General features: G+C 50.3%; 1 protein-coding gene across 4 annotated transcripts in view, besides 7 other annotated features; it reads left to right on the forward strand.

The window, feature by feature from the left end:
* The window catches only part of INPP5D (inositol polyphosphate-5-phosphatase D), a 147,562-nt gene that overhangs the window by 40,062 nt on the left and 80,370 nt on the right, over positions 1-27,130 (forward strand). For 2 of the 4 annotated variants that reach the window (NM_001017915.3, XM_047444219.1), the window contains exons 3-4: positions 21,704-21,854; positions 25,342-25,516. In NM_001017915.3, the coding sequence (NP_001017915.1) occupies positions 21,704-21,854; positions 25,342-25,516 (326 nt within the window). The remainder of the gene's footprint in view (positions 1-21,703; positions 21,855-25,341; positions 25,517-27,130) is intronic. The other 2 variants (NM_005541.5, XM_047444220.1) reach the window with 1 other exon arrangement.
* Positions 7,008-7,509: an enhancer, noted in NCBI's record as "H3K4me1 hESC enhancer chr2:233972121-233972622 (GRCh37/hg19 assembly coordinates)". NCBI's record gives its function as "activates a minimal SCP1, AML or CMV promoter by ChIP-STARR-seq in naive H9 embryonic stem cells {active_cell/tissue: H9 hESC(naive)}" and the evidence as "EXISTENCE:reporter gene assay evidence [ECO:0000049][PMID:30033119]".
* Positions 7,510-8,009: an enhancer, noted in NCBI's record as "H3K4me1 hESC enhancer chr2:233972623-233973122 (GRCh37/hg19 assembly coordinates)". NCBI's record gives its function as "activates a minimal SCP1, AML or CMV promoter by ChIP-STARR-seq in naive H9 embryonic stem cells {active_cell/tissue: H9 hESC(naive)}" and the evidence as "EXISTENCE:reporter gene assay evidence [ECO:0000049][PMID:30033119]".
* Positions 8,625-8,864: an enhancer, noted in NCBI's record as "active region_17334". NCBI's record gives its function as "activates an Ori minimal core promoter by ATAC-STARR-seq in GM12878 lymphoblastoid cells {active_cell/tissue: GM12878}" and the evidence as "EXISTENCE:reporter gene assay evidence [ECO:0000049][PMID:35858748]".
* Positions 17,154-17,747: an enhancer, noted in NCBI's record as "H3K4me1 hESC enhancer chr2:233982267-233982860 (GRCh37/hg19 assembly coordinates)". NCBI's record gives its function as "activates a minimal SCP1, AML or CMV promoter by ChIP-STARR-seq in naive H9 embryonic stem cells {active_cell/tissue: H9 hESC(naive)}" and the evidence as "EXISTENCE:reporter gene assay evidence [ECO:0000049][PMID:30033119]".
* Positions 22,138-22,638: an enhancer, noted in NCBI's record as "H3K27ac hESC enhancer chr2:233987251-233987751 (GRCh37/hg19 assembly coordinates)". NCBI's record gives its function as "activates a minimal SCP1, AML or CMV promoter by ChIP-STARR-seq in primed H9 embryonic stem cells {active_cell/tissue: H9 hESC(primed)}" and the evidence as "EXISTENCE:reporter gene assay evidence [ECO:0000049][PMID:30033119]".
* Positions 23,775-24,322: an enhancer, noted in NCBI's record as "H3K4me1 hESC enhancer chr2:233988888-233989435 (GRCh37/hg19 assembly coordinates)". NCBI's record gives its function as "activates a minimal SCP1, AML or CMV promoter by ChIP-STARR-seq in naive H9 embryonic stem cells {active_cell/tissue: H9 hESC(naive)}" and the evidence as "EXISTENCE:reporter gene assay evidence [ECO:0000049][PMID:30033119]".
* Positions 24,323-24,869: an enhancer, noted in NCBI's record as "H3K27ac-H3K4me1 hESC enhancer chr2:233989436-233989982 (GRCh37/hg19 assembly coordinates)". NCBI's record gives its function as "activates a minimal SCP1, AML or CMV promoter by ChIP-STARR-seq in naive H9 embryonic stem cells {active_cell/tissue: H9 hESC(naive)}" and the evidence as "EXISTENCE:reporter gene assay evidence [ECO:0000049][PMID:30033119]".

The following is a 27,130-nucleotide window of genomic DNA, read 5'->3' on the forward strand; positions in this document are numbered from 1 at the left end:
TCCTCACAGATCATGCTGTTAGTAATCTCATCTAGCCTCTTGCCTGGGGTGGACGTCAAGCTCACTACACTGTAAACTCCAAAACAGCCCACGTTACTCCCGGTGACAATCAGAATTCCCCCTGGCCTGCCCTCAGGTGTCCTGGCTCTCTCCTCTCAGCATCCCCCATGGACTCATGGGCACCCCCGGTTGAGCTCGCTCACCCAGAGCTCTCTCTCTTCCCTGGGATGAGGCTTGGTTCTACGGAAGCTGGGGTCGTCACAGCCTGTTTTCTGCCTTGGGGTTTGGTCCCAGTTCCTCAGAGCAGTGACTTTCAGTTCCTTTGCAGGTGTGACCTGTCTGCTCCTGTTAGAGCCTCCTTTCCCCAGAGGGCAGGGTGGGCCCCACTGGGGAGCTGGAGGGCTCACTTTTGTCACTGCACTTGCCACCCAGAACACTGTTACTGTCCCTTTCTGGCATTTCTTGGTTTCAGACAATCTCACCTACCCCTCAAAGAAGGCGGAAGCTTCCTGTCGTGGTCTGGCCCTTTGCCATCTTTCAGTGTTCCTCACTGAACGGTAATCCCCTCCGTGTGCCCCCAACGAGTCATTCACCATCTTGTGCTAACTGCATTTCTTCCTGATCCAAACTTGCTTTCTGGAGATGGGGGCCATGCAGAAGGGAAGGCGGGTGTATCAGGAGGTCTGGTCTCTGGGGACTGAAGGGATGATTTTGCCAAAAGGGTCAATGTCACTGGACCACATGCCATGGTAAACCTTGGACAACCAGTTCTCCAGGGAAGAAAACAAGCCCGTGATTTGTAGTGTTTGCCTATTTCTACCGTGGAGACACTCTAACCACAGCTCCCACCAGAGTGGCTGCATTCACAACCAGCTCTTGGGGTTCCTGGAAAACTGGGATTTGAGCCTGTAGGAGCCAGTGCCAGCACCCCATGGGCATGTGTGTTATCAGCTCACATCTGCCAAGTCCTGGCGAGGTCTGCCTGCCTCTAGGACTGTAGACGTCTTTATTAGAGACTCCTGTCACACCTGTTAGGAGTCAGACAGATTAATAATCACTTCTTTTTATTTAGAGCTCTTTTAATCCCCAAACTCTTATTTATAAGTTATTTTATAAATTAATAATGATATATCATATATTATATTATAATTAATAATGACATATATGTCATATAACATTATTAAAATCAATTAATTATTAAATAATTATAATATATAATTATATATTATATTATTATTAAATATATAACATATAATAGATATTATATATTACATATTATATAAGTAGTAATTGCATATTATATAAATAATATATATTATATATAATATAAATATATTTATTTATTATAAATTATATTTATTTATATTATATTTATAATTACATTATATTATATTAACTTATTTATAAGTTAATCAGTTTTACCTCTTCCTTGTGATCAGGTTTGGGAAGGATGTTTTTTCTACCTGCCTGGTCTGCTTCCTTGACTGTGTGATCAGGGTCAAACTGCCCATTCTTCTGAGCTTCAGTTTATTTATCTGAGAAATGGGAGTTGCTGGTCCATTAGCACAGTTAGCAGAGCAGGTGCTGCATGATGACCGTGGCTCTCACTGACTGGGAGCCACGCCCCGGGCTCTGTTAGTTCGTTAAACCACTTGGGCAAGTAGGTCTTGAAATCTTCATTCACGGCCAAGGAAACTGGTTTGGTCTCAGAGAGTTAGATACTGTACTCTAGATCGCACAACCAGTTGGTCGTGGAGCTAAGATTGACATTCGTAGCTGACATGGTGTTTTAAAACTTAGTCACAAACATTAAAAAATCGGAGATTTCATCTAGGAATCTGGACTTTTACCTTCTGAAAAATTTAAAATTCTAGCACCCAAGGCCTGTGTTACCCCATGATGCTGTAACTGGAGCTAACTGGAAGCTGCTGCCTTTGAAGGGGTGTTTCCCCCATGGGCCCCAGTCCCCGCCTCTCCCTAGTGTCCCACACCTCGCCTGCTTCACTCACACCAAGTTTCACATTTCGTGATTTTCCCCATGGGCCAGAATGAGAGGAAGAAACTGAGGCACAGAATGTTTTGGCAATTAATTCAGCTCAAATCAGAGAAGCCACAGCAGAGCTAAGAACCGGTCTTTCATAGTCAGGCTATGTGATCAAAACCACAGCGCCTCGGTGGCTCACGCCTGTAATCCCAGCACTTTGAGAGGCCGAGGCGGGCAGATCACAAGGTCAGGAGATCGAGACCATCCTGGCTAACACAGTGAAACCCCGTCTCTACTAAAAATGCAAAAAAAATTAGCTGGACGTGGTGGCGGGCGCCTGTAGTCCCAGCTACTCGGGAGGCTGAGGCAGGAGAATGGCATGAACCCGGGAAGCGGAGCTTGCAGTGAGCCCAGATCACGCCACTGCACTCCAGCCTGGGCGACAGAGCAAGACTCCGTCTCAAAAAAAAAAAAAAACAACCAAAAAACCACAGCGCCTTCTCACTACAAAGCCATGACTTTACAAACTGTTTTAATCCCTTCTGTCCCCATATTGCACTTTGTATAACACTCCCCTTCCTAGGAAACCATTTGAATGGGTGTCTTTTTATTTGAATATGTTCTTACAAAACACTATTGTTGTCTTGGGTGCATGCATTTTAAATTGACTGAAGTCATATCATAGCTTTCATTCTGTGTTCCCCCTTTTCACCAAAGGATCTTCCATGCTGCTGCGTGCACAGCAAGCTCTTGCTTCTGGCTGCTGCAAAACACCCCATGTATGCCTTGACCACACTACTTGTCCACTGTCCCAGTGATGGGCATCCAGGTTCCCTGCAAATCTCTGCTGCACAAAGAATGACAACCCATATAGGTGGGTTGTCAAAGTGAGCCCTGGGGTATATGCCCAGGAGTGAAGTTGCTGGGTCATAGCATATGCTCATATTTAATTTGCCTAAATTGTACCTGATTATTCTCCACAATGGCTGTCCTGGTCTATGTTCCTGGGTTTCTCTATCCAGCACAGATGTTGAGAGAGACGGGAGGGCTTTGCACCAGTAACTAGGCCCTTGGAATGGAGCTCAAGGCAGGCTTGCCTCATGTCAAAGGCACCAGAACACACAGGCAGAGAGATTGGAGAACGGCAATCTTTCAGAGTCCAGGAGCGTAGAACTTAGAGGAAGGAACCTGAGATCTGGGTTCAAGTCCTGCCTCTGCCACTTCCAGGGCAAGTCACTTGGCCCTTCTGTATCCTGGCTGCCTGCCGAGGGGGTGATCTGCCCAGTGCTAGGGTGTTCTCTCAGAAAAGTAGTTCTTTTTTTTTTTTTTTTTTTTTGGAGACAGAGACTTGCTGTGTTGCCCAGGCTGGAGTGTGGTGGCATGATCTCGGCTCACTGCAACCTCTACCTCCCAGGTTCAAGCAATTCTCCTGCCTCAGCCTCCCGAGTAGCTGGGATTACAGGCATGTACCACCATGCCTGGCTTATTTTTGTGTTTTTAGTAGAGATGGGGTTTCACCATGTTGGCCAGGCTGGTCTCGAACTCCTGACCTCAAATGATCCACCTGCCTCCGCCTCCCAAAGTGCTGGGATTACTGGTGTGAGCCACTGTGCCCTGCCTTTTTTTTTTTTTTTTTTTTTTGAGACATAGTCTTGCTCTGTCGCCCAGGCTGGAGTGTAGTGGTGTAATCTTGGCTCACTGCAACCTCTGCCTCCCAGGTTCAAGTGATTCTCCTGCCTCAGCCTCTCAAGTAGCTGGGATTACAGGTGCGCACCACCACACCTGGCTAATTTTTGTATTTTTAGTAGAGATGGGATTTCACCATGTTGGCCAGGCTGGTCTTGAACTCTTAACCTCAAGTGATCTGCCTGCCTTGCCCCATTTCTTTATCTGTAAAATAGGAAGACTAACAGAAACTTAAGTGAAGCTGTTTGAGTACTCAAAAAATATTCATCCTTTTCTTCATTCATTTCCAACACTGAGGTAAATGCACAATGCATTTCATCTTCAATGCTGAGGCTTCTTTGCATGCTCGGTCACACTTAGGGCACCCTGGTATCCCCTCTAGCTGGTTCAGGGACTCACGGGACAGAGGCCCTGCTAAAGAGCAGGATTTGGGACTGATCAGGGCAAACAGAAGGTGAGGTCGGAAGTGTGCTGAAGCCATGGGGGGTAGGCTCAGGGAGGGATGGTCGTGGTCCTCATGGGCCATGGTTGGGGAGGAAGAGGAAGAGGAAGCTAAGGTTTTCATGTCTGATCAGCTCTTCTATAAAGTTGGGGGGTCCAAATTCTTTCCCAGTGCTGAGAGGCTTGAGTTGAGGACTTGACGGTGAATCGTTTGGTCAGCTGTTGAGGACAGGCTTGAGATGGACAAGTGCAAGGATTGATTTTGAGAGCTGACCGCCATAGGTCAGGTTCTTCCAGAAGCAGATCCTAGGCCTTGGTACCAGTAATTCATGAAAGAAGGGCTCCCAGGAGAAACCAGTAAGGGAGTGGGGGACAAAGGACAGGGAAGAGGGGGAAACCAGGTGTGGTTTCAGGTGAAGTCTCACCTCTGGCCTGATCTCACAGGAGCTGTGGAGTATAAATTGCACCTCCAAATTTGTCCCACAGGGAGGCAAGAAACTGGGCTTTTGCACATGTACTCCAGGCCCCCATTGGCTGTCTTGGGTAGGGATAGGGAATGTGGACCTCCCGGGTTTCTCCTGGATTTCCCCATAGGTGAGGTGGTTCCAGTGCCCAAGGGCAGTCGTCTGAGGCACCAGGCTTAGGTCTTTGGCAGCAAAGCAACAGAGCCCCCAGAAGTGGGGATGGGAGCAGGGGGGCGGTCAGTGGGTCCCAGGGAACTGGGTAGGACAGCAGCTGCGCTCTCTGTAAGAACCTGGCTATGGTTGGAAACCGTCATTTCTATCTACACCTGTGCTTTGCCAGTGCCGCTCCCTTCGCCCGCCAGGGTGCTCCCTGTCTCTTTGCCCCACCACCTCCTATTCACCTGAAGTAGGAGCATCTCAGCTGCAGAGTAGCTTCTTTGGTGAATCCTTCCCTGATCCACCAGGCTGAGTCTCCCGGAGCACCCTCCCAAGCTACTGTCCTCTCTTCACAAGCCTCTGCACCTGGTCATATTTTCTTAGTTGTTTATGGTTCTGTGTCTTGCTCCTTTGCTGGACTGTGGGCAGGGCCTGGGTCTGTGTTGGTCCCTGATGCCGGGGGCTGAGCCGGGGGGAAGAGAGCCAGAGGGGAAGGGAAGGGTAAGAGGGTAGTGACCGCAAGCGGGCCGCCTGCTGGCTGCTGCACCACCAGCTCTGCTTTCCTTCAGCCCTGCCCAGGGCAGCAGGTGATCGTGGGGCGGATCTTGACGAGTAGCTTCGAGGACAGGGGCCACAGGAGGACAGGCTGCCAGCAAGTGGAGGGTGCCAGGGAGAGAGTGGCTCTGGGGGGCCACAGTGGGGTTCTGGCTTGTTGGAGAGATGGTGGGGTCCAAAGAGGCCCGAAGGCCTGCACAGGGGATGAGATGAAGGGACAGTGGCCACTGGGAGGTCAGAGAGCAGTCGCTATGGGAATGAGCATGTGGAACTTGACGATTTGTCCCTATTGGCAGATACTGATGATAAAACAAGTTGTGTGACATTGGACAAGTTGCCTTATCTCTCGCAGCCTCAGCTTCCCCATGGGTTAATGAAGATAAGTATGTCATGAAGTTTCAATAAGAGGAAGACCCCGGGGGAAAGTTTATTTTTCCCACCACACTTGTATCTGTCAGTGTTTGCTGCATAACAAACAGCCTCAAATCTCAATACTTAATGACAGCAAACATTGACTTTCCACTCCTGGGTCTGCAGGTCTGCTGTGGTTGGCTAATCTAGTTGGGCTGTCTTGGACTCAGCTGAACCAGGCTGGACTCCAGGTTTCTAATCATGTCCAGGTCTGTGCCTAACATCCTCATTCCTGGGCCAGGCTGAAGGGCTGGAGTTTTCCTGGCCATCCTTTCTTATGGCAGATTGCAGGGGCCCAGGAGGGCGAGTAGAAACTCAATGTGCCCTTAAAGCCCTCAGCTCAGAACTGGTGCTTTTGCCCACATTGCACTGGCTTGGCCAGAGTCATGTGGCCAAGCCCAACATCAGTGGGGCAGAGACACAGATTCATCACGCTCTAGTGCAAGGTGCTACAAGGACGTGGCTGCAAAGCCCTGCAGCAGGGAAGGGCCCTTCTGCCACAGCACCCCTCCTCCTCCTCTGGGCTTCTCCAGTGCACCTAAGCTCTTGGAGAAAGTGCAGAAACCTTTCCCATAGTGAACTGAAAAGCTCACTGTGATGCCAGGTATGAGGCACAGTTTCTAGCTGTCAGCTGTGACTCTAGTGATCAAGGACGCATCCTGTCCTGGATTCTTAATTGTGGACCTGAGTTTCCCAGATGAGGGTTCCACCATCCAAATACCCAGAGCACCTGCTGATGGAGAGCATTGTCATCCTTGTCCCCTTGCTCTGATCCTGGTGACATTAACAGAGACTTCAGAGCTGTCATTTCAGTATCAGCCAAAGCTGTCAATTTTCCAGCCCTCCATCCTGAGCTCCTTTGATGTGAGGGGTTCAAAGCACTTTCTAAGCTGCTTGAATCTTCAAGGAAAGCATGGGCCTGACTCCCATGGCACAGATACTAGGGAGTGAATGGCAGAGATTTGGGGACCTGATGATCTCAACATCCCAGTGGGAATCCCAGCTCATGGGGGATAAGGCCTAAGTGGATGCCCATGTCTGAGAGTTGACCTGGCATGAGGGTTTCCCCAGCAGAGGGTGCGGTAGGCAGGGCTGCTGGTGGGTAGGCAGGGGGTAGGCAGGGACCCAGCCTGGGGAGGATGGCCTGATTCCACAAGGAGCTGTGGAGTGTAAATTACACCTCCAAGTTTGTCCTGCAGGGAGGCAAGAAACTGGGCTTTTACATGTGTACTCCAGGCCCCCATTGGCTATCTTGGGTGGGCACAGGGAATGTAGACCTCCCAGGTTTCTCCTAGATCTCCCCATGGGCAAGGTGGCTCCAGTGCTCAAAGGCAGTTGTCTGAGGCAACAGGCTCAGGTCTTTCACAGCAAAGAGGGTGTTGGCTATGAACTCAGAGAAAGGGGTGATTTAGAAGGGAGTGCAGAGACTGCTGGGGAGTGGGGCAAAGCCCATGCCAGGTGATTCTGGGAAGTCTGCCCAAAACAAGGCGAGAGGAATGTCGAAGAACCTAGCTTCAGGAAGTTGGGGCTGGTTGGAATGAAGTAGTTGGGAGAAGATAGAACCCAGCTCCACTAGTGCCAGGGCCCCCCAGCCCTGGACAGCAAGGGCCTGGGGGAGGGGTTACAACCTGGTGCTTGCCGGGGAGCTGGGAAGAACCGGGTGTCTGGGGTGGGAGTCATGATGTCCCTGCTGGCCCCAGCTGGCGGGTGGTTGGAGACAGGGTGGGTGCTTGGGCTCAGTCTTCGCTTTCCTTCCCTTAAGCTTGGGCCTCTTCCCCAGCGCTGCCACGGCACTCCCTTCTGCACACTGAGATTCTGACCGAGACTGGCATTGGCTTTTACCCTTTTCAAGTCTCCAGACATGTGGTTTGGGACCATGCCTGGGAGAGGCCAGTGGCGGCTGGACCTTGCCCAGAGATAGCCAGTGCCAGTTTCCCCCCTCCCACCTCTCAGTCCACCATAGCCCCAGGGGGCGGACCTCCTGTCCTCCAGGAGGTAGACGCCCCAAATGCCAGGTTTCACACCACCCTACCCACCCACTGAGCCCGAGTGGCTTGCGTCTGCCACAGCGTCTCTGACTGCCTTCTCTGCCCTGGGCTGGCAGCCCCCTGGCTCTGTGCCTGTCCTCCTCCGGGATCTCACTATCATCCAGCTAGAGAGTCCGGGGATCCCCCACCCACCACCTCCAACCCCTTTCTCATCTCTCTCATCTGGAAATGTCCCCTGGGATGCTGCTCTTCTGACAGCATCTCTGACCGCTCAGGCAAGCTGCTCAACCTCTCTAAGACTCAGTTTCCCCATCTGTAAGCTGAAGATATCAAACCCACCTGCACTATTAGATAAAATATAAATTGCATCACATATGTGGGCGCATCTGGCCCACTTTCTTCCACATCTGATGATCAGTCAACATCCATTCTTTCTTTTTTATTTAAACGAGATGAGGTCTTGCGATGTTGCCTCCTTTCTCTCCCCCCAAGTGCAGGTCAGAGCCTTCCAAGCCCCAGGAACCCACAAAATCAGGCCATCTTTGTGAGATGTGCCAGCTCAAATTCCCTGCAGCCTGACTACCAGAAATTTGCCCCCTTGAAAGTTCCCACAAGTATTTCTGAGATGCCCTCAAAGAGCCCCTCCCTGCTCCCTCCCAGGGCAGCACGGGGCACCGTTCCTTCCTCCTTTGCCAGGTCCTAATGTGCAGGTGTCTGACAGGCACTTACCCCGGTACCGCAAGAACACCAGGGTCACTGTCCCAGCCTAGGGCTCTGTGCCAGGCACTAAAGCTACCCATCCACAGTCTTGCAGCTTCTGCATGGCAGAGAGGGGACAACCCCCTGCCCAGTGCTAGGCTTTGGTTTGTACCCAGAGACCCACAAAAGAGTGCACACCATCAGTCTCTGTCTGATGCTCAGTCATTCCAGAAGCTAAATCAAGCCATGGGTTGTGGCAGAAAACAGAAGCTATGTCCTATCTACTCCCATTCCTCTGCCCAGCCAGAGTACCTCCCTCTCCTGGTCACAAAATGAGACCTGCCTTGCTCTTCTGTGGATGGAAACTTGCAGGAGCCTAGCTTTGCCATGCCAATGCACAGTGCCCATCCACCTCCATCCTGCAGCCCCAGCTGAGACACTTGTGCTGCTGAAGAGAATGCAGCCCCTCCCCTCTGGCCAGTCCCACAGCACACGCTTCAGCTGAGACAGCCAAGAAGAGCAAGGGGACTGCCTGCACTCACCACAGTGCTTGTCCTGGGCTGCTGCAGTCACCTCACCCTCGTCTATGCGCGTTGCTGTGTGACTCTGGTTCTCTGTAATTGACCTTTTTATTATTGGCGTGGGCATTGTTGCAACTATTTGGGCATCGTAGGTGTTTCCATGGTATTTGTAGCTTTTGTACAGAAACCTTCAGAAGTATATAGACTGGGAATGTTTTTGTATGATAAAAATAGACACTTTTAGGCAAGATGGTTTTTTTCTTTCTTTTTTATTTTTTTGTTGTTGTTGAGATGGAATCTCGCCCTGTTACCCAGGCTGGAGTACAATGGCGCGATCTCGGCTCACTGCAACCTCTGCCTCCCAGGTTCAAGCAATTCTCCTGCCTCAGCCTCCCGAGTAGCTGGGATTACAGGCGCCTGCCACCACGCCCAGCTATTTTTTTTTTTTTTTGTATCTTTAGTAGAGATGGGGTTTCACCATGTTGGCCAGGCTGGTCTCGAACTCCTGACCTCATGAACCACCCGCCTCAGCCTCCCTAAGTGCTGGGATTACAGGCAGAAGCCACAGCGCCCACCAGTCTTTATCTTTTTTTTGAGACAGGGTCTCATTCTGTTGCCCAGGCTGGAGTGTAGGAGCACAATCTTGGTTCACTGCAGTCTGCATTTCTCAGGCTCAAGGGATTCTCCCATTTCAGCCTCCCAAGTAGCTGAGACTATAGGCATGTGCCACCATGCTCAGCTAATTTTTTTTTTTTTTTTTTGAGATAGAGTCTCACTCTGTCACCCAGACTGGAGTGCAGTGGCATGATCTCTGCTCACTGCAGCCTCTGCCTCCCAGGTTCAAGCGATTCTCATGCCTCAGCCTCCTGAGTAGCTGGGATTACAGGTACACACCACCATGCCTGACTAATTTTTTTTGTATTTGTAGTAGAGACAGGTTTTCAGCATGTTGACCAGGCTGGTCTTGAACTCCTGGCCTCAAATGATTCACTGGCCTCGGCCTCCCAAAGTGCTGGGATTACGGGTGTGAGCCACTGTGCCTGGCCTAATTTTTTATTTTTATTTTTTTTTAATAGAGACGAGTTCTCATTATGTTGCCCAGGCTGGTCTCTAACTCCTGGGCTCGAGCGATCTTCCCACCTCAGTGTCCCAAAGGGCTGAGATTGTAGGCATGAGCCACCGCGCCCAGCAACAAGATGCTCTCTAACCTCCCCCTGCTTTGTGTGTGTGTGCATGCACGTGTGCACACTCGTACCAATTACATGAGCTAGGTTACATAGGCTGATTTTCAACAAACTATTACAGTGTTTAGCTCAAAAAGTGGTTATTTAGGCCGGGTGCAGTGGCTGACGCCTGTAATCCCATCACTTTGGGAAGCTGAGGCAGGTGGATCACCTGAGGTCAGGAGTTCGAGACCAGCCTGGCCAACATGTAGTGAAACTGCATCTCTACTAAAAAATACAAAAATTAGCTGGGTGTGGTGGCACATGCCTGTAGTCCCGGCTACTTGGGAAGCTGAGGTAGGAGAATTGCTTGAACTCGGGAGGCGGAGGTTGCAGTGAGCCAAGATCACACCACTGCACTCCAGCCTGGGCGACACAGCGAGACTCCGTCTCTTAAAAAAAAAACAACAAAAAAAAAAAACTGTTGCTTCGACAGTTATTTTAAAAAAAGATAATTTGACTTATAGAACATTTTCAAGAACGGTACAAAGAATTCCTGTATACCCTCTGCTTTACCCAATTAATGTTTTAGCATACTGTTTATCATCATTTCAGTCATATTACTATTATCATTTTTCTGAATTATTGACAAGTAAGTTGCTGACAATGCCCCACTGTCCCTAAATATATCAGTGTGTTTTTCCTAAGTGATAAAGACTCTCCTTTGTAACCACATTCAACCGTCAAAATCAGGAAATTAACATGGATGAAACACCACCATCTAATTCTTAGATCCTTCGTTCAAATGTTTTTAGTAGTCTCAATAACAATATATACATCTATTATTTACATATTTATGGAAGTTATATATAACTTTTATACACACACACACACGCACACACACACATATAATTTCCCCCTTCTGGGCTGAGGCTCAATCCAGGATGATGTGTTACATGTAATTGTCACATCCCTTCAGTGTCCTTTAATTGGGCACAGTTCCTTGCCTTTTCTTGTCTTTCATGACCTTGGCATTTTTCAATAGAATAGGCTAATAATTTTGTAGACTGTCCCTGTCCCTCAATTTTGGGTTTTCAGGTGTCTCCACATGACATGGCCCGGATTCTGCGTTTTCTGCAGGAGTGCATAGCAGCAATGCTGTGTCCTCTGTGCACCCATCTCAGGGGGTACAATGGCGCTCTGCTGTTACTGCAGAACTTAACACTGGACACTTGGTTAAGCTGGTGGCTGCCAGGTTACAATAAGGATTGTAAAGTTACTAGTTTTTGCTTTTAATAACAATTTAAGGCCAGGCGCAGTGGCTCACGCCTGTGATCCTAGCACTTTGGGAGACCGAGACGGGCAAATCATCTGAGTCCAGGAGTTTTAGACCAGCCTGGGCAACATGGCAAAATTCCGCCTCTACAAAAAATACAAAAAATTTAGCCAAACGTGGTGATGCATGCCTATAGTCCCAGGTACTTGGGGGGGCTGAGGTGTGAGGATCGCTGGAGCCTGTGAGGTTGAGGCTGCCATGAGCTGTGATCATGCCACTGCGCTCCAGCCTGGACAACAGAGTGAGACTCTGTCTTGAAAAAAAAAAAAAAAAAGAACAATGTAATAACATTTTTCCTCAAACTCTCACCCACTTTGTTTAGCATGTATTGACGATTCTTGCCTGAATCAGTCATTACTATGATGATTGCCAAATGGTGACTGTTTTTGTTGTCGCTTCGACGGTTATTAATTGGCATTCCACTGTGGGGAGGAGCCGTCCCTTCTCCTTTATTTATGTCAGTACAGACTCATGAATTTCTATTTTATTCGATGGATTATAATTATTTTTATTATTCATTTTGATGTTTGAATTGTGCTGGATGCACCTTTCAACTGTTCCTTCAGTTGGCTCCTGGCTCCTGTATCTGTTTGACAAATCGCCATTATTTTAGCATTTTCTTGCTTTCTGGGGCAACAGGTGTTGCAGGTACTTGTTAGATCTTCTTGGCCTCGATTCAAAGGCTGCTAGAATCAGCCATTTCTCAAGGAGCACTGGCTATCTTTCATGGAGGATGACATTTAGCAGCCAAGATCTGAGCAGCAGGTGTTCTCATTGCTGTTGGAGTGTTGTGGGCTCTCGCAGCAGACAGAGTGAGGAAATAGTGTGTGCACATACACTCATTCATGCACCTGTATTTATCTATATATCTTTTTTTTAAAAAATACCGCATCTCACTCTGTTGCCTAGGCTGGAGTGCAGTGGTACGATCTCAGCTCACTGCAACCTCTGCCTCCTGGGTTCCAGCAATTCTCCTGCTTCAGCCTCCCAAGTAGCTGAAATTACAGGCCTGGCTCATTTTTGTATTTTTAGTAGAGACAGGGTTTCACCATGTTGGCCAGGCTGGTCTCGAACTTGGGACCTCAGGTGATCCACTCACCTCGGTTTCCCAAAGTGCTGGGAATACAGGTGTGAGCCACTGCACCTGACCGGTATTTACCTGTATATCTTAAAAGCCCGAGTTGGCACAGACACTTCCCATTCCAATCCAATGCCCCACAGCCATGGGACCTTTCTCCTTTCTGTGTTTGCAGCTCCTTTCTCTGAGAGTGAGAAGCCTGGCTCCTGCTTCTTCCCCATGTATTATCCCCAAGAAGGGTAATCCCCTTCTTGGATTACATGCTTATTCCCCTGTGTATACCCTGCTTCTGGCTCTGCTGCTCCCCTGACATCACCACCTCCTTGGTTCTGGCTGTGCAGACTTCTAAGGCCCTCGTCATGTCCTTATCCCAGCTGCTCCCTCGTCCCCACTGGCTCTGCAGCCTCCTGCAACCTGACCACCTCCCTGGCCCCAGGTCCAAGGTCTGCTGGCCCTGGACACTTCAAAGGAAGGGAAAGGAAAGGAACCAATAAAATGTTTTTAAAAAAAGAGAAGGGAGGGAAGAGGAAGAGCTGATTGTTTTGTTTTTGTTTTGTTTGTATTTTTTTTTTCTATTAACAAAAGCCACATTCAATTATTGTTCTTTTTAAGAACAAACATTTTGGAGTCCATTCAAAGCCATGTGGCTGAAGAGAGATTCCTGGGACTGAAGGAGGCCTCAAAAGCTCTTCCCAAATCTGTCCCCCAGCCCCACCACACTGCCCACCTTTCCTATCTCATTAAATATCACCAACATCAACCAAGTTACTGCAGCCAGAGATCTAGGGCCACTCTCGCTGGCTCTCGCTTGTCGACCGTGCCCTGTTCGATGGGCTAATCTGGTTCCAGCTCCATCCTTGCCTCTCTCCTGCTGCTGCATCTCCCTAATTCAAGCACTAGAGTGGGGTTGCTTGGACGCCCAGCGTCCACACCGTAGCCGAGGTGATAGTTCTAAAATGTAAATCTGATCACATCACACACACACCAGCTTTTAATTGCCTTTAGTGCCTCCAAACCACTCTTTTTTTTTTTTTTTTTTGAGACGGAGTCTCGCTCTGTCGCCCAGGCTGGATGGAGTGCAGTGGCGCCATCTCAGCTCACTGCAAGCTCCGCCTCCCGGGTTCACGCCATTCTCCTGCTTCAGCCTCCCAAGTAGCTGGGACTACAGGCGCCACCAACACGCCCAGCTAATTTTTGTATTTTTAGTAGAGATGGGGTTTCACTGTGTTAGCCAGGATGGTCTCGATCTCCTGACCTTGTGATCTGCCCGCCTCGGCCTCCCAAAGGGCTGGGATTACAGGTGTGAGCCACCGCACCCAGCCAGCTCCAAACCACTCTTAAGACAAAACTCAAATTCTGCCAGGCCCCAAGGGCCCAAGACACCCATGCTCTGACCTTTCTTTCTCCCCCACTTCTTCACCCACGTGGGGCCCTATGATTCTTAAATTTGGGGGAGAGGAGGTGGTTAAAGGTTGAGACCATCCTGAGGGCAGGAGAGAAGTACAGGAAAGCATTTCAGGGGTTGCAGAGCGGGGAGAGGCCAGGCCGGGAGGAGGTGGCCCCCATCCCTAGTAAGAGCTGGACAGGAGGCTGCTTCCAGCCTTTCCCTCAGATGAGCTGGCTCAGAGCAGGGCAAACGCGGCAGGAGGTCTCCTTCCAGAACTCAAAGGCTCGGCCTGCACCGTCAGACTCCACACTGATCCTCACTCAGCCTTGGGACGTGTGGATGCCTGGGTCAGTGGGCTCCGAGACCTGGAGCCCTCTGTGGCTTTCAGAAACTTCCCAGCCTCCACAGGCGGGGAGTCTCCCCACTGGGAAATGGAAGTAATAAAAACAGCAGCCACCCCGCAAACCCACACCATTCTCTCCACCACAGCCGAGTGGTGTTTTCACCGTCCTCTCTAGTGGCTTTCTCATCTAACTTGAAACAAATGCTTTGGTGTGGGGAGCAACTGAAGCAGGGTATTTGGTTTGGTTTGTTTCCACTTTTTTTTTTTTTTAGACAGAGTTTCGCTCTTGTCACCCAGGCTGGACTGCAATGGCACAATCTCGGCTCACCACAACCTCTGCCTCCCAGGTTCAAGCAATTCTCCTGCCTCAGCCTCCCAAGTATCTGGGATTACAGGCATGTGCCACCGCGCCTATCTAATTTTGTATTTTCAGTAGAGATGAGGTTTCACCATGTTGGCCAGGCTGGTTTCGAGCTCCTGACCTCAGGTGATCCGCCCGCCTCAGCCTCCCAAAGTGCTGGGATTGCAAGCGTGAGCCATCGCGCCTGGCCTGTTTCCCAGTTCTTAATACTGTCCCGCCACTGGTAAAATCTCCACAATCATTCTATATGCTCTTCCATTTAAAACGAAGCCTGGAAGAGCCTTGTGGGGGGTTCCTAGCACCCCGGGGCTCCTGCTCTGCCTGCATGGCCTTCCTCTGTGCCTAGTCCTGTTTCACGCCTCATTTAGAGACAGCAAACAGTGCTAAAGTTAAAATTACCCACTGGGAAACTTGAGCCTGTGCAATGACTTTCCTGGATGGTGTGACTTTCCTGGATGGTGTTGGAAAGTCAGAGCCCAGGAACTGTTTCTGGAAATGCAGCACTTCTCAGCATGTGCAGCCCTGAGCCTCCAGCAGTCTGGACAACGGCTGTTCTTTGTTTTAAAGACCCGGGTGCCCTTCTCGTCCTGAACCCCAGGGCCACAGGCAGCCCCTCTCCCCTTGCCCTGTACCTTCCCCAGGAGTATTGCTACCTGAGTGAGCTCAGGTGCCAAGCCGTCAGACAAAGGTGCCTCTCCCTGCAAGTCCCAGCTTGGCAATCCACGTCTCTGGTTCCCTCAACACCTTTCTTCAATGGAGAGGTCCATTTTCTGCAATGCACATGCCCCTCAACACAGTGGTGGGGGCTGCCATTATGTCATTATGTTTGCAACCAAACTTCTCTGCAAGGAGACTTGGGGGACTACGAGGCTGAGCCAAGCAGGGTTCCTTTCCTTCAACCACTTATGAGCTTGTGGGGAAGGCAGGCACAGCAACTATGACATGACGCAGAGTGAGCTGCTGATTCTAAGCTGGGCTTGGTGGGGAGCTGTCTGCAGAGACTCTGTAAAAATGATCCTGCTGGAAGTCACCCAGAACTTTCCACAGACCTAGAAATTATAATGGGAGGCAAGAGAAGAGTATTTTGTTTCACAATCTGAACTAACTCCTACCATGTTTTGTTTGTTTGTTTTTTCTGCTTGACTCTTGGCTGTGAGCACAAATTCATGCCCATTCTGCTGATCCTAAAAGCTCTGAAGGGAGGGCTACTCTGAGCCTGAGATGTCAGATATATATGTAGATATATATGTAGATAGATAGATAGATAGATAGATAGATATAGATATAGATATAGATATAGATATAGATATATAGATATATAGATACTTTTTGAGACAGGGTCTTGCTCTGTTGCCCAGGCTGGAGTGCAGTGGTGTGATTGTGGCTCACTGCAACCTCCACCTCCTGGGTTCAAGCAATCCTCCCACCTCAGCCTCCCAAGTAGCTGGGACTACAGGGTGCACCACTACGTTTGGCTAATATTTGTATTTTTTGTAGAGACAGGTTTCATCATGTTGCCCAAGCTGGTCTCCACCTCCTGGGCTTAAGCAATCTGCCCACCTCGGCCTCTCAAAGTGCTGGGATTACAGGCGTGTGCCACCATGTCTGACCAAGACCTCATAATTTTTTTTTTTCTTTGAGACAGAGTCTCACTCTGTCGCCCAGGCTGGAGTGCAGTGGCTCCATCTTGGCTCACTGAAACCACTGCTGCTTGGGTTCAAGCGATTCTCCCGCCTCAGCCTCCTGAGTAGCTGGGATTACAGGCGCCTGCCACTGCACCTGGCTAATTTTTGTATTTTTAGTAGAGATGGGGTTTCACCATGTTGGCCAAGCTAGTCTTGAACTGCTGACCTCGTGATCCACCCACCTCGGCCTCCCAAATTGCTGGGATTACAGGCGTGAGCCACCCTACCTGGTCAAGATGTCATAATTTAACAAGTCTACTTAAATAAGGCAATGCTGCTCTTGGTTTTGTTCAAAATCAGGCTTCCTGTGTTGTGCTCTAGTTACCTACCTGCTAACGGGCGGAGGCGTTCACTCCAGGGAAAAGGGAGAGTTGCCACGGCAGAAATCCACGTGTCCGAGGGCATCACTTGGGGGCCGCCGGTAACCATTGCGGGGATCATGTCCCGGCTGACTTGGGCCTTCATGGTTTCCTTCTCTGTTTCAAAATGACTTAACAACTCTTTTCAGGAAGGCGGCTGCTGTGGAATGGGGAACGAAGTGTGGCAGCCTGGGCCATTAGGAACCAAGGGCAGTCCCCTCCTTGGTCAGAAGTGTGGCTGGTGCTAACCTCCCGATTCGAACCTGGACGCTTCATCGGGGGACGCAGGCATTTGTTTTCCCTCTGTCTCCTTGGGCGCCTTTTCACCATGGCCTTCACGTGCTGAGCATCTTCCATTTGCTCCCCAGTTCATTCGCTTCCCTGCCCCCTGCTTTCTCATTGGGTTTGGCCAATGGGAGCCGCAGCCAGATGAGAGGAAAGTTTTTTGGCGGGGGAGGGGATCTACTGCCCTGCTCGCATCCTGTAAGGTCTCCATGGTAGCTCCACGGGAGGCCACAGCGCCTGCTGGGCGGCCCCCTCTGGGTTCCAGCACCTGCTTCTTGCCTGTGATCTTCCCAGGGTGGTAACTACTATGAGTTCGGGGGGGCTGTACTGCCTGTTATTGGTATCCCTATGCCCTGTCCCTACATGTTCTCCCCAAGTTCCCCCGTTTAATGAGACATCTGCCTCCTGCCGGGACTCTGGATCGTGCACATGAAAAACGCACATGACACCTTGTTCACATTTTGCCTTTTACAGTTGCTGAAAAGGCACCACCTTTAGCAACGTGCTGGGGGATGTGAGTGAGGGCAGCTCCCCTGCTTGCCACTGTTTCTCTGCATCCCCAGTCCCAGATGCATGGAAGACCCTCCCTGACCATCCCTCCTCCTGGCTCCAACTCTTGTCTGTCATCCTGACCCAAGGCGGCAAATCCATGGAACCACTAAATGCTGCTCCAATTGCCAGGCCCTGCTGCACAGTCTGGGGATGGCACAGCCATGAGCAGACCTGTCCTGACTGTGGGCACACAGCTGGGTGGATATGGACCTGGCCTGCTGTGGGTGGGAACCCCCAGGCCTGTCCCAGCAGGACCCACCTACTCCTGCTGGCCTGTGGATGTCAATACACTGTCCACCTGGAAGCCCCTCCTGGCTTTGACTGGGTGGGGATTGTTAGGTCACACCCAGGCACGGTTGCCCTTCAAACAGACTCCTCCCCCTACCGGCCACTCTGCCCTGTCCCCTCGGCCATCGTACCCTGATGCAGGACCTTTCTGGGCCCAGGTTCAGAATGCAACACCATGTGTGGGCTGCTCCTCTCTGCACTGCACACACTGAGGCCAGACCATGCTCCTCACCACCCACCCGTCTAGACCACGCTCCCCACCCCTCCGCTGTCTGGGCCGGCTCTGTAGCTTCTATGATCCCCTTCTTGGGCTCTGACTCTTTCTCTTCCTGTTCTAGAATGTGCTTTGAACGTAAGTTCTCTGTTTTCCTTGTCAAAGCTTAGGGCCAAGAGCAAAGCCTTATGAAGACACCTTCCTGGACATTTTCTCCGGGGACACCTGCCTTTGCCTGGTTGGTGCCCCGCCTTTGCCATCTCCTGTCTGCACTGCCTGCAGGCACAGGGTGCTTCCTGCGGGCCCACTGCACACAGCAGGTTTTCCCTCAGGTGGGGTCTGTCCCTGTGGATCTGCTTCCTGTAGACCTGCTGTGTTCTTCCTGGGTGCTTTCCCCTCGGAGGGGGAGAGGTGGAGGAAGGCTCCCTCCTCAGCACACTTGTCAGCGGCCATTATCAGCTTGCCACCTGTCTGCCATCCATGAGGCTTGGCTTCTACCCTGCATTCTCTCCCTTCCTGGGAACCCGGGCAGCCGGCAGCCTTGGTTTGCCAGACCCTGGCTCCCTGGCCTCTGGGAGCGGGCCAGGCACACGCGGTGGCCTCACCGGGTCCACAGGGACTCCTTTAAATTGCTCTGTTCCTAGTACACAGCATATGTCATCAAGTCTAAGATGTTTACCTTTCAGATTTCACATCTCTGGAGTCACATAAGTCTATAATCAATGTGTAACATAGTCTGTGGTTCAGCTTCTTAGCAGTGCATAAAATAACGTGTCTTACTTGGTTTTAGCATTGGTGCGTCTTAAATTCCCAAATCTCACATGCTCACTCAAACACGCGTTCTTCAGATACCCTCCAGCCGAGAATCCTTTTCTGGATTCACACATGAGGCGTTCAACTTCAGCTTTCTTTGGTATTTTCATATTCCTTTTCCATGCTCTTAATGGCTTGTCATCTATTAGCTGTACATTTTTTGACAGTCTGACACTTTTCACGACTGCTTTAACTGAATTGAGTTCATAGATCTTGTATCATGTCAAATTATTTTTGTTATTCTGCTCACTTTGGTTTTTGAACCTACTCATGTTACTTTTTAGAGGCCTGGCTGCTGCTGCTCAGATATTTCTGGTTCAATAATGTTTGAAAGAGATTGCTTAACACGGGGCTTTGTGAAAACAAGTGAATTTATTGAAAAGAATTTAGAACACCCTTTTGCTTAACTCTCTATAAATTTACTAACTAAGACACACACACACACACACATACGCCCAGGCATAGACTTACATATGTGTGCAATGCACACAAAAAAACACACTTGGAAAGAGAAAGACAGAGACAGAGCCAGAGCCCAGATGGACAGCCCTGAATCACAGGTCACTGAAAGAGGCGTATGTGTCCTCACTAGGACTTGGAGTTAGCCACCCAGGCACAAGGGCTCGGGAACAGGTCTGAGTCCTAACCCTGCTCCCTGATGTCTGAATCTGTCCCAGTCTGGGTCATCCTGCCTCATCTCTCCTGATTCCACTTACCTGTAATCCCGAAGACCTTCAGGCACCCTCCCACCTGCCCACGTCAATCCCAATCCCAGTAGATATCTGACTTGGAGGCGGAAAGGCCAACGCTTGGCCCAGCCACGCTCAGGCCAGATGCCACCTGCTCACCAACCAGGGTGGGCTTTTCAACCTCCATTCTACTTGCCTGTGGGTCTTGTTTCCTACAGGCGATGGGTCCCATTCCCTCCAGAAAGAAGGTAGCTGGCAGCCCCCAGAGGAGCAGTGAGATCCTTGACTTCTAACTCCAAGGATGGCGCCTTCTCAACTAATTTTAAAATGACCTGAAAGTTGCTGGGTGTGGTGGCTTACACCTGTAATCCCAGCAGTTTGGGAGGCTGAGGTGGGTGGATCACCTGAGGTCAGGATTTCGAGACCAGCTTGGCCAACATGGTGAAACCCCGTCTCTACTAAAATTACAAAAATTAGCTGGGTGTGGTGGCGGGCACCTGTAATCCCAGCTACTTGGGAGGCTGAGGCCAGAAAATTGCTTGAACCCAGGAGGTGGAGGCTGCAGTGAGCCGAGACTGTGCCACTGCACTCCAGCCTGGGCAACAGAGTGAGACTCCATCTCAAATAAAATAAAATAAACAATCTGAAAGTCACTGACATGGTGGCTGTTATGAGGACAGGGTGAATCACAGGCACTTAGCAGTTGCCAGGGGCGCTATGCTCCTCCAGGCCAGGGAGGCCCCACCCAGAAGGGGTGCCTCTTTGGGGCTCATTCCTGTACCTACCAACAGCCTGACCCCTTGCTCCTGTTCAGCTGCCCCTGAGGGCAGGGCCTGGCAAGAAGGTAAAGGGTGAGGTAGGGGTGGGGCTGGCTGCTCAGGGACCACCTGGAACTACCGGCTAGAGCCACAGGGCTTACAGGAAGGGGATCTGCCCCAGGGCATTTGAATAGCCAGCACAATTACCCCCAAGGTCCTCTGCTATCAGCAACAGATACAAACCAGATAGATCATTTACTGAGTTTTGACAAAAACAACTATAACAAATGAAAAAAATAAAATAAAAATAAAAGCAAAACAATTGCTGGAATTGATTTTTTCCTGTGTTTTTTTTAAAAAAAGTTCTTCGTGCAGGAAAAAATAAAAGTAACTTCCCCACCAAACACACTCACAAATTCTAGAAAAACACATTCTAAACTGGAAAATAGGTATCTTGGGGTTGTGGGATTACAGGTGATTTCTTTCTTTCTTTCTTTCTTTCTTTTTTTTTTTTCTTTTTTTTTTTTTTTGAGACAGGGTCTCACTCTGTCGCCCAGGCTGGAGTGCAGTGGTGTGATCTTGGTTCACTGCAACCTCCGCCTCCCAGGTTCAAGCAATTCTCTTGCCTCGCCCTCCCAAGTAGCTGAAATTACAGGTGCGCACCACCACGCTTGGCTAATTTTTGTGTTTTTAGTAGAGACTGGGTTTGAGTTTCATCATGTTGGCCAGACTGGTCTCGAACTCCTGACTTCAAGTGATGTGCCCACCTCAGCCTCCCAAAGTGCTGGGATTACCGGCACAAGCCACTGCACCCAGACAAATTTCTTATTTAAAAAAATCCATATTTCTAATTTTGCCATAATATAAATGTACTATTTGTATAAAAATACTTTTATTTTATTTTATTTTATTTTATTTTATTTCGAGACTGAGTTGCCCAGGCTGGAGTGCAGCGGCGCAATCTCGGCTCACTGCAACCTCTGCCTCCCAGGTTCAAGTGATTCTCCTGTCTCAGCCTCCTGAGTAGCTGGGATTACAGGCACCTGCCACCACGCCCGGCTAATTTTTGTATTCTTTTTTTTTGTTAGCAGAGATGGGGTTTCATCGTGTTGGCCAGGCTGGTCTCAAACTCCTGACCTCAGGTGATCCACCTGCCTCAGCCTCCCAAAGTGCTGGGATTACAGGTGTGAGCCACCGTGCCTGGCCCAAAAACACTTTTAAAAATAAAAGTTTTTTAAAAACGGAAAGAAAAACAGATCTTAGGAACGATCCTCTGTGTGCCTTTTGCAGAAGGGCCCTTGGCAGCTGCTGGTTGCAGGATGTGAGGTGTGGGCATGAGGGTCACACACCCTGCGTAGGAGCCCAAGGCTTTTCCTGGATCGCAGTCACTCCCTCCGCCTCGCTGGTCTCTGCTGCAGTTGGCCTTTGTGGTTGGCTGACATTCTAGTTGGTTAACATGTGCGTTTGTTTGGATGTTCTGTCCTCAGGCATCCGAAGGCGTCTCCATGAGGTTCTTCACCAAGCTGGACCAGCTCATCGAGTTTTACAAGAAGGAAAACATGGGGCTGGTGACCCATCTGCAATACCCTGTGCCGCTGGAGGAAGAGGACACAGGCGACGACCCTGAGGAGGACACAGGTAGGGAGGGAGGGACAGGACGGCAGGAGGTACTTTTGGGAACTTGCCCTGCACCCACCTTGAGTGCTTGTAGACTAGGTGAGTCCTATTATCAGAGGGAGATTGTTGGCGTGGGGGTTAAGGACAAGTTAGGAACACAGGCTCTCTGGTCAGGCAGACATGGGTTAAAATTCCTCCTCCCCAGCTTATTAGCCAGGTGACCTTGGGGAAATTACCTGACCTCTCTGAATCACAGACTTCTCTTTAAAGAGACAGTAAAATAAGGCTGGGCTTGCTGGCTCACGCCTGTAACCCCAGAACTTTGGGAGGCCGAGGTGGGAGGATCGCTTGAGGCCAGGAGTTTGAGACCCTTCTGGGCAACATAGGCAATCCTGTGTCTACAAAAAGCTTTTTAAAAAATTTATTCAGGCATGGTGGCTCAGGCCTGTAGTCCTAGCTACTCGGGAGGCCGAGGCAGGAGGATCCCTTGAGTCCAGGAGTTCAAGGTTGCAGTGAGCCATGATTGCACCACTGCACTCTAGCCTGGGTGACAGAAAGAGACCTTGTCTAAGAAAAAAAAAGAGAGAGAGAGAAAGAGACAGTAAAGACTGAACTTCCTCTGCTTCACTTGACTAGCCTTTAAAAAGACAGAGAGAGAGAATAACGATAGTACCTGCCTCTCATGGTATCTCAAGGATCAAATGAGTTGAGAAATGTAGCACCCAGAGCCTGGTACATATTCATAGTAAGCACTCCATAAATGCAGCTACGGTCATTAGCATGATTACAATCTGCTGAATTTCACTGAGAGGAGAGTGAAGGAGGAGACCCTTGCACCTAACTGGAAGGATGAGGAAGGTGTTTCTTTATGTCATCATTAAAAGGGGGAGGGGGAAATACAACCCCTAAAAATATGTTGAAAAAAATGTACAGTCCCAGCCAGGTGCAGTGGCTCACGCCTGTAATCCCAACACTTTGGGAAACAGAGGCGGGCAGATCACGAGGTCAGGAGATCGAGACCATCCTGGCCAACATGGCGAAACCTTATCTCTACTAAAAATACAAAAATTAGCCAGGTGTGGTGGTACGCGCCTGTAGTTCCAGCTACTTGGGAGGCTGAGGCAGAAGAATCGCTTGAACCCAGGAGGTGGAGGTTGCAGTGAGCCAAGATCGCACCACTGAACTCCAGCCTGGCAACAGAGGGAGACTCCGTCTCAAAAAAAAAAAAAAAAATTATACAGTCCCTAAAAAGTGTGTGAGACTAAGGGTGCCCTTTACAGCATAGGGACAAAGACCAATAGAGCAACAGTCAGATGGAGAAAGTCTTGCAGAGAAGGAGCTTACCTGGGGATGCCCCACTTTTCCCCTCAAGGATTTACTGAGAATATACCTAAGGGAATAGAAATCATTTTGTTACAAAGACACATATGTGTATGTTCATTGCAGCACTATTTGCAATAGCAAAGACATGGAATCAGCCTAAATGCCCATCAGTGATGACTGGATAAAGAAAATGTTGTATATATACACCATGGAATACTATGCAGCCAGTAAAAAGAACGAGATCATGTCCTTTGCAGGAACATGGATGGAGCTGGAGGTCATTATCCTTAGCAAACTAACACAAGAACAGAAAACCAAATACCACGTGTTCTCACTTAAGTGGGAGATAAATGATGAAAACACATGGACACAAAGAGGGGAACAGCACACACTGGAGCCTACCTGAGGGGGTGGGAGGAGGGACAGGATCAGAAATAACTATTGGGTACTAGGCTTAATACCAGGATGATGAAATAATCTGTACAACAAACCCCATGACATAAGTTTACTTATGTAACAAACCTGCACAGGTACCCCTGAACTTAAAATACAAGTTTTTTTTTTTTTTTAAAGGCTTATTTCCTAAAAGAAAACCATGAGATACCTAACCGGGCCCCTCAGTTGGCCAGGGCTCTTCCTGAATTCCAGCAGGTGGAGACTACCAGGTCCCCCAGGCTCTCCCCGAAGAGAGGAGAGATTTGTCCACAGACGCTGAGACCCTTGCCTGGCTCCTGCCTGTTCTGGGGGCTTGCTGCAGGCATCCTTTTTCTCCCTCACCTGTGGGCTGGCTTGTGGGCCACCAGGGCCCCCTGCTCCCTCCCACCCTCATGGAAACACACTTTTCATGGTTGTGCAGCTGTTCGTTTCCAAAAGGACCGCAGCTCCATGGAGGCTGAAAGGGTCCCAGGCAGGCCCTGTCCCTTTTGGCCTCCCTGGTCTGAGTGAGCACTGCCCTCTGGAATCAGGAAGGTCAGGCTGTGGAAGAACTAGGGCTGACCTGTCCCATTGTGAGCCCAAGGTCACTCACCAGCACCGCGCCCTGGCTGCACCTGAACAGCTGCCCCCAGGCGCCCAGGGCCATGCTGAGAAGCTGTTCTGCAGAAACGCCCTCCACACTAAACACCCTCACTCCCCTCGGGCTGCCCATCCCAGCTAGTTGGGCCCCTCTGGGCATGGCTGTCTGGAGGAAGATCCCGACAAGTTTCTGTGAGGGCTGAAAAAAGAACCTCAGTCTCATGACTGCTGGCTTCACTTCCGCAAACGAGGTCGCCCAGTTGTCGGCTCGAACCAGAGCAATGCGACATGAGGCCCGCGCAGTCCAAGAGGTCTGTTTGGGCCCAGGGCCTCTTGAGGCACCGCCAGACCGTGGAGCTCGAAGCAGACTCCTAGTTGTCTTCAGAACCCCAGACAGAGGAAGTGAAGGGCCTGTTCTCTAAAGAGGAGGTCCCCCGGGGCCCACTGTGGTTGGGCCAGAGGCAGCCGCTCTGTGTGGGAAGAGGCTCAGACAGAGCTCTGGACCCTCCATTCGTGTACGTACAGAATGAACCTTCTCCTAAAGGCGATGGGTGGGCTCCCACCTCCCAGGCCAAGTTCAAGTCATTTGTTGAATGTCTCTGAGTGAAGGGAACCCCCTCGCTTTCTTTTATGTGTTTCTGAGAGTCTGGGGGAGGAGAGAAGGAAGGACAGAGGCTGGAGAGAGGGGACCAGGGAGAGAGGGAGAGGGGCAGTGTGGCTAGGCCTGCCTGTCTCCTTACCCCTGGTCCCCTTCCATGGTTTTGGCCTATTCTGGGAACTGGGCCTCTGCCTAGCCCAGGGCTCAGCCATCATGAGACAGGTGTCTCAGCCCCTGAAAGTCTGAGAGCCAGACTCATCCTGCTCACCTGCCTGCTGCTGTGGGCTTAGTCCATCCAAGGTCAGCAGCCCTGCAGGCCTTCCAGACCCTCCATGGAGCAAGGCCTTTTGGCCCTGGCAGGTGTTTGCTGATGGCCACAGTGGGGCAGACACTGCACTAGCCAGGGCCCTGTGGCAGGAGGCTCTCCCTCCAGGAGGGAGTCAGCGAGGGACACGGGGACGCAGATGGAGATCAATAACGTGGGTGTCGTGGCCTGGACCCCATGGGGCTGCGGTGAAGGCCGGGTTGTGCGCACAGTGTCCTCACCAATGGCCTTCCTGCTGTTCTCTCCAGTAGAAAGTGTCGTGTCTCCACCCGAGCTGCCCCCAAGAAACATCCCGCTGACTGCCAGCTCCTGTGAGGCCAAGGAGGTTCCTTTTTCAAACGAGAATCCCCGAGCGACCGAGACCAGCCGGCCGAGCCTCTCCGAGACATTGTTCCAGCGACTGCAAAGCATGGACACCAGTGGGTGAGTCCCCACTCAAGTCCAGCTGGGCCTTCATCTGCAGTGAGCCCAGCCAGGGCAGGGCTGGATGGCTTGGGTTTCGATCCTAGTTATGGGCCTGGTGACCAGAGGGAGATGGGGAGGTCTCCAGAGAAGAGTGCTTGTCATCTTGCACCCCAGAGGCCTTTGCACCATTGGCTTCAAGAAGGCCAGGGGCATGGGCCTTAACAGGAAAAGTGCTCCACGGGGGTGGGGGAGCACTCCGTCTCCAGGCACGGCCCGGCATAGTGTGGGCACTCACTGGATATGTGCTACATTAATTAATAAGTTAGTACCTGGTAATCTCCATGCCTTAGTAAATATAACTTTTTGTTTCTTTGTGAGAAACGCTCCATTGCCCCCCAAAGAAATCCTAATGACAGGGCTGAAGCCGCATTTCCAACTTGAAGGATCCATCTGAGGCTGCCAGGGCTGCCCTCCTCCTACTCTCTCACTTGGCAAAATATGAAGTAGATGCCGATGGGACACATACGCCACCGGGTTGCTATGATACTTGGCGTGTTCCTATTTCCACCTGGACATACCCATTGGTTCTTCCCTGGGCTCTCCAGCCTGAATTCTGTGCACGCTCCTTGATTTATTTGTGCTATTTATCAAATAGCCGAATATCCAGTGTTGCTACTATGTTGATTGTCTCTATATATGTGTCTAAATAACAGATGCTTTGAAAGTATTCCACATAGGCCAGACGCGGTGGCTCATTCCTGTAATCTCAGCACTTTGGGAGGCCCAGGCGGGCAGATCACCTGAATCCAGGAGCTCAAGACCAGACTAACCAACATGGCAAAACCCCTTCTCCACTAAAAATACAAAAATTAGCTGGGCATGGTGGCGGGCGCCTATAATCCCAGCTATTCGGGAGGCTGAGGGAGGAGAATAGCTTGAACCTGGGAAGCAGAGGTTGCAGTGAACCAAAATTGCGCCACTGCACTCCAGCCTGGGCAACAAGAGAAAAACTGCGTCTAAAAAAAAAAAAAATTCCACATCGAGCCCATTGTTTAGTTCCCCAGGGTTTCCATTTCTTCCCAGGTTTGGATGCTGAGTGCAGTAAACTGGATGGGGAAGAGTCGGGGAGGCCCCATGGTTCCACCTGCTGACCTCTCCTACTAAGGCTCGTACACCTCCCGCCAACTCCATCTCCTCCTCATCAGCCCCTCCATCCTGGTTATGGGGTTCTGCCTCAGTGGGACCAGCAGGGGCGTGAAGCCGAGCTTCCAGGCAGCTTTCCAGGAGGGGTTAGGGTCGGGGCATGGGCTGAGGGTTCATGGGCAGAGAGCCCTGCTTTTTCTATCTTTGCTTATCATGTCAGTGGAACCTTCCTAAAACTTCTGTTCGGAGATGGGAATGAGTGAAGGGGGCATGTGCAGAGACCAAGGAAAGCGGCGACACAGAGCCGCCCTCCATTCTCAGGGTCAAGGAAAACTGGGAATCCACATTGTGTTTTAAAATCAGTCTATTTCGCTTGTCAAGCTGCTTTGCACATAGAGGACTGCCTTTTGATTATTTTTCTTTAAATGACAACTTGCACAGTCTTTCCTGCAAGTTAATCAGATCTCATCAGTTAGGTCTTAGTAGGTT

The sequence above is a fragment of the Homo sapiens genome, chromosome 2 (genome assembly GCF_000001405.40).
Source record: "Homo sapiens chromosome 2, GRCh38.p14 Primary Assembly".
NCBI lineage: Eukaryota > Metazoa > Chordata > Mammalia > Primates > Hominidae > Homo > Homo sapiens.